Genomic DNA, 12,875 nt, shown 5'->3' with positions numbered 1-12,875 from the left:
GGGCTGGAGAGAGAAGGACATGATAGAATCTATCCCTTCAGATCTCCTTGAAGTGAGAGCGAGAGAAAGAGAGAGAAAGGAAATCAAGCAGAGAACCATATGTACCCTGCCATTCCTCCATGTGGTGAAGTCAGGGATGTGAGAAGGCACAGCAGACATTGAAACAGAAAGCTCAAAACAAAGGAACTGTCTCCCATTTCCATGTGGAACCCCAGGGTGCTGCTCAGTCAGCTATGAGTGACACAAGGAGCCAAAGGAGCTTGTGGGTGTAGATACCAGAGGTCAAAGAGTGACACTCAAGACCCCCAGTGAGAAGTGTGAACACACCCCCCAGGAAGCCTGTGGGAATGCATCACACTTCACCAGATACAAGCCATGGATCAGCCACAGAAGAAGAGAGACAAGATCTGATGCCCATTCCTCTCCCACTAGGAGGCTGAGAAAGCTCCTCTGGTGGCTTGCTTTCATATTGGACAGGGGAAAGGGGACGAAGGGAATCTAAAAGGCAGAGCACTTGCAAAAAAGAGACCATACCACCAAAACAATAGGATTCAAATCTAAAGAGACAGCGACATGTTAAACATGCAATGTGATGTCTGAGTATAGCTGACTCTGCAGCAGCCTGCTCAGATCATCTTAGATCCTCTTCCACTCCTAGCCAGAGCCCACTCCAGCCATGTGTGGAGCAGGTCAGAAAGTACCAGAAAATCAACACCCTGCGGGAGCAGCCCTCGGCTACTGACAGTGGGAGAGTGGGATGGGTGTATTCATACCCCAGCTCCTCACCTCAGGAAGGATCATTCTAAGGCATGTTCTATACTGTCTTCCAAAGCTCCCCAGTGGGGTTGGGCTCCAGTTGCCCACGGTGCTTAAAGTTCTTGCTAACACATATTTTACTGCCTGCTTTCCCATTGCAGCTTCCCAGGATGATCTTGCAAATAAACTACTTGCACTCACAATCTTGTCATTGAGCCTTTTTCTGAAGAACCTGAACTGAGAGGATGGACTCCTATCTCCTCTTTACCTGGTGAGATGGGAGTCAATGAAGAAGATGAAATCTTCTATTTTAAAAAGAAACTGTATTGGATCTGCACAGCCAAGGCAATGAGAGTAAACATTCATACCATTATAATAATAACCACACTTAATACAATTTTTTGAAAGCTGGAAGCATCATTCACTTGGGCGACAAATATTTATCCACTTAAAATTATGCACAAGGTGTGATTTATAGGCCAGCTTGAAATGTGTTTTGGTAACATGGGATTGAAAAGCACAAATAATCTCAGGGCCACATTCAAACAGCAGCTCCCATTGTCTTCCCCAACGATTCTCTTCTGAACTAACCAGTCTGGCTCATCTCCTTTTGGGTTTCCTGTTAACTTCTGGCAAAGGCACCATGTTGTTCAATCTTAAACGACTAAAACAAACAAAGGAAGAAAGACAAAAGTATTGAGAGGCGCTGATTAATTTATACTATCATGCATTACACACCATGTATCTAAGACCTACCATGAGACAGTCTGCAGTGGCCTGGAAATAGAAAAGTGAATAGTAGGGTCTCTCTCCTCATAGAGCTCCATCCTAGAAGATAGGTGCATGCCAACTGTAAACGGAACACAGTGTGATGAGCACCCACAGCAGACAGAGCACCCTTCCCCTCGGGACATGAAGGGTTATTTTATTTTTATTTATCTATTTATTTATTTTGAGATGGAGTCTCACTCTGCTGCCCAGGCTGGAGTGCAGTGGCACAATCTCAGCTCACTGCAACCTCTGCCTCCCAGGTTCAAGCAATTCTTTGTGCCTCAGCTTCCCGAGTAGCTGGGATTACAGGCATGCACCACCACGCCTGGCTACTTTTTTTGTATTTTTAGTAGAGATGGGGTTTCACCATGTTGCCCAGGCTGGTCTTGAACCCCTGACCTCAAGTGATCTACCCACCTCGGCCTCCAAAAGTGCTGGGATTACATGCGTGAGCCACTGCGCCTGGCCAACGTGAAGGGTTATTAAGGAGAAGAAACATATCAGTGAGCTAGTTCTACAATAGTGCTGTGGATAAAACTCAGTGGCCTACAACAATAAGCATTTATATTCCTCTCTCGCCGGTAAGTAGGCTGTGGTTTGCTGGCTGTGCCTTGAGGCTACGGCATGTGCCCAGGTGTGTTCTCTGTGCCTCACACTCCTTGGATCAGTGACTCAATGAGGCACCCTTCCACTGTGAAGGCATAGTATAATATGCCAAAGGGCAAGCCAGAACCTGCAATGCCTCTTCAGGCGTCAGTGTAGGACGGGCAGGCTGCCTTTTTGGCCCACATTGCATTGGCCGAAGTAGACACATGGCCAATCCGAAAGACCCTGCATTAGGAATGTGAACTCCACACTGAAGACCGGGAGACTGGGTGTCTATGTGCCATGATCCCATCTATCCCAAGGAGTGAAGGAAGGAGAGGACACCCCAGGTAGAAACAGCAGCAAAATGTGATCATCCTTGAAGGTTCAAGCCACATGCTTAGTAGAAACATAGGGTAGGCGTGTGTAAGCAACGCTTCAGCGTTTTTAATCACTGCATACCCACAGTTGTCATCCCCAGTAGACCCCAGAAGGCTTTTAAGCAGCTTCAAATGGTCACCTTAAAGGTCAGAGTGGCAGAAAGGTGGACCCAATGCAACAGTCCTGTTAACTTAACAAGGGGCATTTCTGTATCAGAGACCTTGAGGGCTGCCGTACTTACACAGAAGGGCACTGTCGGAGGGTGAAGGTTCATTCGAATTGGAACCATGAGAGAAGTGGGGAAGCGGTGCTGTGGGCCCCTGGACAGCTCCTGATGCTAACCTTTTGTTTTCTTCCAAGGGAGATGCCACCAGCCAAGCGGCCGAATTCTGTGCCTGGGGCACTAACACGGGGGCATATAGCCAAGACTGTGGAAGTGAACACCATCAGTGGACAGAGGGTTTTCTCCGGAATTGCTTAGGATCTGAAATTTCACCTTCCTGATGTTTCCTACCCCTTGTGCACCTATAGCCACCTGTCACCTAGCAGAAGGGAAGAGGCTACAAATTCAAAGGAGGTAAAGCGGAGAGTCGGTGAGTCCAGGAGACAGGTTCATGCTATGGCTCACCAGGTATAAAACCACCTAGGCTTGGCTGCATCGTTTCAACACTCCATCACTGGAAACTTTGAAGAGTAGATCACTCAATTTCTAATGTGTTTTAAGTAATGGAGCTCTTATTCTCAGACCACACTTCATGAAGGGTCTTCAAACAGACAACAAATGAAAACTTAGCTGCTTTAATTTGAGGAGGATTTGGGAATGTTAAAGCTCGGACTAATTCATCCCACCCCTTCCCTTGGAGGTCATGCATGTGGAATTCCAGAGTCCTGGGATCAGAAAAGCACAAGCAGAAATGCACGGGAGAGATAGCATTTTAGCCCCTTCCTACTCCTACTCCACGACAGTCTGAATGTGGAGTTCCACATTCTGCCAGGAGTTCCAAGTGATAGAAGTTAGAAAGGCTGGGCATGAGGAAGTGTACACTTTCAGTTTTCAGGGGCCTCCTGCCTTTTGTATTATGGCAGCAGGCCATGGAAGCAGGTGGCAATTTATTAACTAATCACATGCCAAAGCAATGCCATTATTCCTCTGAAAACATTGCTTATTTCCTGACTTATGCCATTCAGGCTGTTGTGGCAAAATACTGTACACTGCAAGGAATAACAAACATTTTTTACAGTCCTGGAGGCTGAAAGTCCACAATCTAGGCTCTGGCAAATTCAGTGTCTCATGAGAGCCTGCCTCCAGGTTCATAGACAGAGCCTTCTTTCTGTGTCCTCACATGGTGAAAGGGTCACAGGAGTTCTCTTAAGCCTCTTTTTTTTTTTTTTTTTTTTTTTTTTCAGAAACAGGGTTTCACTATGTCGCCAAAGGCTAAAGTGCAGTGGTGTGATCATAGCTCACTATAGCCTTGACCTCCTGGGTTCAAGCAATCCTCCTGCCTCAGCTTCTCGAGTAGCTGGGACTACGGGAACATGCCACCATGCCTATCAAATATTTTTAAAACTTTTGTAGAGATGAGGGTCTCACTGATTGCCCAGGCTGATCTCAAATTCCTGAGCTCAAGCGATCCTCATGCCTTGGCCTCCCAAAGTGTTGGGATTGCAGGCTTAAGCCACCAAACCTCTTTTATAAGGGCACTAATCCCATTCATGGGGGCTCCACCCTCATGACTTTGTCACCTCTGAAAGGCCCCATCTCCTAACATCATCACCTGAAGTGTTAGGATTTCAACATATAAATTTTGGAGGACACAAACAGACCATAGCATTTTCTGTTCTGATCCTAAAGTATTTTTCTCAAATCATATGACTTTAATCAACACATAATATAATCAATTCTTTAAAAATTTTTCTAATGTAATACTTTTTTCTTTTTTTCTAGCTCAAGTCACTGGATATTTTTTGAGTATTCATTATGAAATTTGAAATAAATCTTAACAGAGATAATGATACCAATTATGATTCTTGTATTACCACATCAGTACATTAACTGAACACTTAACTATATGCAAGACATTTCAGGGAGGGCTCAGCATCTATATTAACTCTCGTTCTCATAAAACTCTTGCTAATTACTTATCATTAATCCTAGTGTATAAAACAAAATGAGAGCTTATGACAAGTATTCATGATCATAGAGCAGGGAAACTTGAAAAAGCTATTTTGGGCCAAGCGCGGTGGCTCAAGCCTGTAATCCCAGCACTTTGGAAGGCCGAGGTGGGCAGATCACGAGGTCAGGAGATCGAGACCATCCTGGCTAACACAGTGAAACCCCGTCTCTACTAAAAAATACAAAAAACTAGCCGGGCGTGGTGGCGGGCACCTGTAGTCCCAGCTACTAGGGGGGCTGAGGCAGGAGAATGGCGTGAACCCGGGAGGCGGAGCTTGCAGTGAGCCGAGATCGTGCCACTGCACTCCAGCCTGGGTGACAGAGCGAGACTCCGTCTCAAAAAAAAAAAAAAAAAATAAGAAAAAGTTATGTTGATTCCAAAGCCTAGACCTTCTCTTGACACTCAGAAAACCAAGCCATATAAAACAGCGTAGATGCAGGGCTGAAATGTGCAGAGGGTTCAGTCCACAACCACGCAGAAGAAAACAGCTGGCCAGAGGCAATAGGAAAGTCTTCGCGCAGCAGCCTAGACTGATCCGAGGTAGTCAGTGCTTTTTAGGGGCAGAAACGTCTATGTCTTTCCCCCCAGAATGGCTCTGATGAAGAAGCAGGTGAGAAAAAGTGTGATTGCCCCACGCCTTGTTGTCTGTCTGAAGCACTGTTTGCTTTCTCTTTTTCTGCCCTGAATATAGCTTTAATTTAACTCAATGGAGTCCTGTGAGCTGCATTAACAAATGATACCCCAGATAGCTTAGGGCCGTGTGCTAAAAATGAGTTCCCAAAGAGGCTACAAACCATGGAGGGTGGAAATATTGGGAAACTCCTCATAATACATTACTTTCTTAGATATTCATATTCCACATCGTGCACTAAACATCTAAGAAGTCCTATAGTCAAGAAACTTGTTAGATTTAACTGGAATTTCCCAAACTTTCATCATGGCTGAACCATCTTTCATACAATGCCCATTCCCTGTTAATGGAATGAACACAGAATCCTTGTAGACTAGAGAAGCAAACACGCAGTGTTCTGGTGTGCCCCTAGAGGATGTAACCACCCCAAATCAAGGGCCATCATTACAAGACGAAGGGTCCATGCAGCCACACTCTGCACCCTGATGTCTGGTCGGACGCTGGCCCGTGAGTGCCCCGGGAGCCCGGGTATACCGGATGAGGTGGCTACCGCAGAGGTTCTGGATCTTCCCCCGGTCCCTCTGATGCTGGGCCCTCCTGCTGTGGTGCCGGGCTCTCTCTTCCTTGTGCTTGTCACACCTGGCCTGCATTCTCTGTGTGCTTCAGAGCAAGACTTCAGTGAGGCCACCAGACTGGTTTTCAGGTTGCATTTCTGTCCTTGGTGCCATCTACTGGGTTGTCCCTCAGCCCTGTGCCTTTAATCTCACAAATCCACCCTGCCTAACCCACCCCCAGATTCCTGATGCGCGCCGCAGACTCTACCTGCTGGAGTCTTCCGACCTTGATGGACTAACCATGGCCACCAAATATGTTTCTATAACTATCCTGTCTTCCTTAAGGGCCAGACAGCTCAGCCTTCACAGTGGAAAACATGTTTTCTAGCTGCTATTCTTCAGCTTGTTTTAACCCATGGCCCCTTTGGTAATTACAAAATATCATGCCTTTCATTAACTTCCTTTGAAACTTTAAAATTAATTAAATACAGGTTGCGATGAGCCAAGATCGCGCCATTGCACTCCAGCCTGGTGACAGAGCAAGTCTCGGTCTCAAAAAAAAAAAAAAAAAAAGCCAGTGGCGGTGGCTCATGCCTGTAATCCCAGCACTTTGGGAGGCTGAGGTGGGCAGATCACGAGGTCAGGAGTTCAAGACTAACCTGGCCAACGTGGTGAAACCCCGTCTCTACTAAAAATATAAAAATTAGCTGGGTGCGGTGGCACGTGTCTGTAATCCCAGCTACTCAGGTGGCTGAGGCAGGAGAATGGCTTCAACCCGGGAGTTGGAGGTTGCAGTGAGTGGAGATCACACCACTGCACTCCAGCCTAGTGGACAGAGTGAGGCTCCATCAAAAAAAAATAAATTAAATTAAATTAATTAAATATTACAATGAAAAACAAATGTAACTGACGTCTGCAACTTACTCCAAAATACAATGCATAAGAGGAATTCATGGGTGGATACAGGCATGGCTAGCAGCACGCACGTGTGATAAAGCAACTACTATGTAGCAAAGGAGCGATTTAGGGTGTGGGTAAATGGTGTTCACTGTAAAATGATTTCAATTTTTTGATACATATCAAATTTTTCACAATAAAAGGTTAGGCAAAAGTTCAAGTAATGATAATTCTACACTATTTTTTATCAACTGGCACAGAGCACCCACTATGCTCACAGACAGATGTGGGTTCCAGGGAGGTGGGACTGTGGGTGTCTGTCCAGCCAGGAGGAACTGCTTCTGCTGTTTAAGTCTCTGTGGGAACTATGGGACTTCCTGCAAACTGCTGTTTGGGGAAGTGTTGCACCTGCCCCAGCTGAAGCCCTGCGAGCCGTTCCAGCTCATCTGTGGGGTAGGAGGCCGACACATATGTTCTGCCAGGGCTGACCTCTGCAGACTGAGATCTGAGCTATGCTCAGCTAGCCCAGCTTGCCTGGCTGCCATTCATGCCCCCACATCTCGTTGTCCCTGAGCCTATCCTTCCAGACCCCACCTGGATCATGCACTAGGTCCCACAGGAAGAAAAGATTGTTGTTCCATGGGATGCTTTCCCAATCCAGTTTCCATCTGTTTGCCACTGGAAGGGAGAGCAGAGTCAACATCACATCAAGAGGAAAGATGGGCTCCTGCATGATGAATTTGCTTAGGAAGCAAATTGTGCCCAATCTACACCTTGGTTAATATTGGTGTGCTACAAAAATGTGCATATGGAAGGGCTACGAGAGCTGCTTAAACAATTCCTGCTGTTACTCCCTTCTGCACAAAGAGATAGAAGACTTACAGTGCAATGCATGGGGAGGGGAAGGCCCAGGAGAGGAGAATGCAGGGAACCTGCCCTTCAACGGAAGCATCAGTGATCCTTAAAATCACAGGTTCGGTGTTGTAGGGGCTCTTCTGAATTCAAGAGAACTCCTAGAACTGCAAGAGGTCACTGTATTCTCAAAAGTAACAAATGCATTTCCACAAAAAACAGCTATACGCAGCAACTGCCTAAGTCTATTTTAAGGGAAACAAAAGGTCTTAAAGGCCCACCCCCACACCCCCAGATTAAAAGCAGCTAGGTGTGGAGTGACAAATAGCCAAGAAAGCTGAGGGGACATCAGGCTCGCCAGGAATGTGTACAGAATAATGGCTATAAGGCTGGTTCCTCATATCGCTTTGAATATCTAACCAGCTTTGTATTCAATTAATACTTAATATATGGCCAAAAAAAGTCACTAAATAATTTTGAACCATAGAGTATCAAAGTGATGCTCTAGAATCTAGAGGGAAAGAGTTTGTAAGTGAGATATGGTGGTTCATTTTATTTACCAACTTGACTGGATCATGGGTCAAGCCCAGATATTTGCTTAAACATTATTTCTGGGTGTATCTGTGAAGGTGTTTCTGGAAGAGATTAACATTTGAATTGGCAGAATGACTTAAGAACATGGCCCTTCCCAAGGTGGAGGGGCCTCAGCAAATCAATTGAGGGGCTGAGTAGAGCAAAAAAGCAGAGAAAGGAGGAATTTACCCTGTGTGCTTCCTGTCTGCCTGCTTGAACTGGGACATCTCATCTCACCTTCTCTGACCCTCAGACAAGGATTCGTATCATCGGCTCCCCTGGTTCTCAGGCCTTTAGAAACAGATTGAATCACACCATGGGCTTTCCTGGCTCTCCAGCTTGCAGACCCAGGGACTTCTCAGAATCCATGATTTGTGTAAGCCAATTCCTCAACATAAATCGCTCTCTCTCTTTACACACATACACACACACACACACACACACACATACTCTCTCTCCTCTCTCTCTCTCTCTCTCTCTCATCCTCATGAAACCTTTGCTGGTTACTTATCATTAACCCTAGTTTACAAAACAAAATGAGTTACAAAACAAAAATATGTATGGTGTGTGTGTGAGAGAGAGACAGAGAGCGAGAGAGAGAGAGAGAGATCCGGTTGCTTCTGTTTCTGTTTCTGTGGAGAACCCTGACTAATACATGAGGAATTATTGGCTTCTAGGGCTTCTCTATGACCAGAAAACGCCATAGCCTGTGTGGATCCCCAGCCCAGCTTGACTGGTAAATGCTGACCACAAGTAACACTTCATCTGACAAATGGTGGGACCAGAAACCCAGAAACCAGTGTGGGGACACAGCCAGCAGGCCATGGTCTCTGGAGGGATCATAGTAGAAATCCTCTATCAAACATGAGAGGAAAACAGGCAGCAGCAAGACTCCACAGCGGCTGCTCTCTGGTTAGCTCCAGTGAAGTCATTAGCACCAGGAAAGCAGGGGAACTAGCTTAGGAATTCACCGAAACCCACCTCCAGGCCTTGCAGCCTCACAGTAGAGAGAACAACTGTGGCTCCACCTGGCCCTGCCCGCAGAGGCAGTGGAATGTGTGAGTATTTTGTTTAATACTCCACGTCGTTGCTCTCTGCCTCCCACAAGGGATTTAAGATGGCTTACAAACATGGCCACAACATTGGCAATGAGAATAAAATAAAAATAGACGATATAAGTAAAGCAGAAGGAAAATCAGGCAGGGGTGTAAGATGAAGTGAGGAATGAAGTCAGCATCTGAAGCAGCCAGATTTAACTATATGGAAGCACATGAGATATTTGTTACAAATTCAATGTCCTGGGGAAGTGGAACCCCAGTGTCCCAGTCATCCTAACATCTGAGAATTATTTAACCAGACACGTGAAAGAAGGAACCATGAACTTACTTAGTTGTGGGTTCTTAATGCAGAATTTGAATCTTCTGAAAAGAAATGAGATGCCTGTGTTCACATGCACTTTTCTTTTCTACTCAGATCATGTAAATGCTCATCAAATTATCAGAGGACTCCAGGACCCAAAACCCATTCACCATTAGTACCACTGCTAACCTTTCCAGAAAGCCATGGAAGGATGGAACCATGATCGGGGATACTAGATGTGATATTGTTAACCGCACTGGATACTTACTAACGATCAGCATCTGGGCTAAGCGTGTCCCATGCACTATCTCACTTTAGTCCTGGAAGCAAGCACTATAATCACTGCCATTTTATAGATAAGGAAGCAAAATCTTGGAGGTTAATTTCCCCCACAGTTATGCAGTTGGTCAATGTCAAGATTAATTTCCAGGCAGTCTGGCTTCCAAGCAGCAGGTACAACTGCCATAAATCCAACTCACCACATTGCAGGAGAGAAGGTTTCCTGATGCAGAAACACACCAGGGTCTTAGGGGGAAGCTCCGCTGTTCCTTATTCTGAAACCAAAAAAAGACACTGTGAACCATTGTCAAGTAAACTATTACTCTTAACTTCTGATTTGTGTTGTATCTGCACAATTCTTTGAATGAAATGGACTCTATTCTGTAATTTTCTGGCAGCTGGCATATTTTTGTCTTTTCTTAAAAATCATCTTCAAGGTAGAGCTCATTCTCAGAAGAGCTCATTCAAGGAAATATCTAAATCCCATTTCTGCCACTTATTGACAGTCTGACTTTGGGCAAGTTATTTAGTTAGCTTTGTTATTCTTTTTCTTATTCTTTGTATTATTATTATCATTCCAGTGCTCTGTGTATGTATTTTTCCACAATATAAAATAAATAAAATCAACTAACTTTATTTTGTGAAGCATGTAATACTCAGAAACTAAAATAATTTTTTAACAGGAAGAGAAATATAAACCCTTTTTAATAAAGAACATAAAGGTAAAAATTTTCCCCAAAAAGGATAGTGGTGGGAGATCGAATTGTGTAGCTCATTATCAAAGTAACTCCTGAGCTAGAGTAGAGAAGAGGCCCATGGACAGAACATATTTGTATTCCAAATAATAGCTGGGGACAAAATAATGATCCTCTGCATGACATTACTGTTTAGTATGACTGCAAATGCCCTGGGCAACACCGTGGCAGGTAAAGCTAAGTGGTGATTCTAACTGTTACACAGGAGGATAGAATGCCATCTTGTTTTCAGTCAATGTGTCCACTTAGAAAACCCAAGAGAGGTAAATAAAAATCTATTGGAATGAATAGAACAAAGAGAATTCTATACAATAGACAAATTTAAGGAAAGTATACTAAACATAGGTTTAAGGTATAACTAATCAAGATATCTATTGAGAGAAAAAAAATTCTATTAAATATAGCATCAAAATATAAACTATTCCAGAATTACTCTTAACACAAAAGTGATAATACATAAAGAAAAGTACAAAATAACTGAATGCCTACTAGAGTCCTATGAGTGTGCAGCCCCTTCCCCTGTCTTAGTTTTCTTCAGAGAATGGAGCCCCCGAGGTGTCCTGGGCTTGCATGAGGGTCTCCATTGCCTGTCTCAGCTCTGTGGGTGGGTGCTCCACTAGCCCAGGCTCCTCTGTGGGTTGCTCAATGGTGTAAGTCTGGGCCAGAGCAGACCTGACCCACAGAGAAGCATCACTACAGTGCCTACAGCCCCACTCGTTCCAGGCACTGCTCTGTCCTAATCCACTCAGTCCAGGAGAAGGAGAGGTCAAGGTTTCCCTTTTGCAGAAGAGGAGATAGAGGCACCGCCTAAGGGCTCACAGATGGTGACCATGGAGGTGTGACCTGAACCAGGCAGTCTAGTCTCAGATTTCATGGCCACCATCATACTCCATAGCTTCCTTTTTATCGGGGGAATGAAAAATGATGACAATTACGTTAAAACTGTATGTACATATAAAAGTACATAAACATCAGGATAATTTATTGGGTTATTAATCTGTAGTGTTTTTTGACTATTCCTCATTGCATATTTTCCTCCCTGGCATCAGGTTTGTGAATGTATGAGCTGTGCTGTCATATGATGTCTCTCACCTGGTTTAATACATTCCTAATGCTGTCCTGGAATTCTTAATACCTTTTCTTTTTCAAAAAAGATCTTGCAAATTATGTGGCAGTTCTTTCTCTCTCCCATTTCAAGCCAGCATTCTGGACTCCCTCACCTAAGGGGTAGTCAGGTTGCAGGAAAATAGTAGAAGTTTCCAGAAGGTTATAGCACATTCTGTCTCTGGAGGGAGACAAAAATGGGAAGGAGGGAGAAAAGAAAAATGAGGTGAGAAGCTGGGACTTAGGAGAGACTCCTTCCAGCTGGGGAAGGCAGGGAGGTTAGGGGTTCTGCCAAAGCACCACCTCCTCCACCACCACAGTATCTCACAGAAGCTTCTGGTCCCTAGTGGACAATGGCTTAGTGTCTGCAGTTTGTGTGTGTGCTTAGCCTGTCTCCTCGACACCGAAAATCTTCCAGGGGCATAGGCTCGTTCTACATTTTGTTCAACACTGCATCTCTAATATCTAGGGAAGGGTAGCCCCTGGGCCCAGAAATCTCACCAGAAAAATCTTTCCTGTAACTAAAAAGCAGCATAGATGGAGGACTTCAAGGCCCCTGTGGGCACAGAGAGTCAGGGATCACTCAGGGACCCCAGTGTGAGCCTAGGACCTGGAGCCCCCAAATACATTGTTCTGTTCAAGAACCCTGAGAAATATGTGCAGAGAAAGACACTCCAGAACTGATTGAGATTTAATTCAGAACTGGGATCTAATTTTACTTAACAAGTAAATAAGGACATAGGACATTTTTTGCACACTCATGTGTGTAGCTAAGATTTATACACCTGTCCTATCAGTAGCCCAGGGTGCCACTCCTCCTCTGTGTGTGAGGGAGCCCTTGACAGGCGAGGGGAGACAGGGAGGTCACGTGAGCTTTCTCCCTCATGGCTGGGCATGAGGTCACTGCAGCTGGTGGTCTTGAATGCACAGAGTCCTCCAGCCATGCCCCCAGCAGTCCGGGAGCTGGGGAGAGTCATCCCTGTTTATTCTCACAGAGTGCCTCCCCTCCCAGTCCTCACCTCACAAAACGCGCACCCGATTGCCTTGCTGGGGGAGACAGCATGTTTCTGATGGAACTCAGAAAGCTATTGAGCTCCCAAGGGGAAGGGTGAGATCTGGGAGAGATGGAGGCACGGAGGTTCCAGTCCCCTTGGGATGAGCTGTCCCTCCCAGGCAGGCACTCATGGTGGCTTTCCTAGACTCC

General features: G+C 45.2%; 1 annotated feature.

Moving 5' to 3' along the window:
• Positions 1,755–2,954: an enhancer, noted in NCBI's record as "BRD4-independent group 4 enhancer chr9:92776129-92777328 (GRCh37/hg19 assembly coordinates)". NCBI's record gives its function as "activates an origin of replication core promoter dependent on BRD2, P300/CBP, MED14 and CDK7 cofactors, and independent of BRD4, by STARR-seq in HCT116 cells {active_cell/tissue: HCT116}" and the evidence as "EXISTENCE:reporter gene assay evidence [ECO:0000049][PMID:35650434]".

Source organism: Homo sapiens, chromosome 9, assembly GCF_000001405.40.
Source record: "Homo sapiens chromosome 9, GRCh38.p14 Primary Assembly".
NCBI classification, from domain to species: Eukaryota; Metazoa; Chordata; class Mammalia; order Primates; family Hominidae; genus Homo; species Homo sapiens.
Note: the sequence above shows the minus strand (reverse complement) of the source record. Positions and strands in the feature narration are given on the sequence as shown.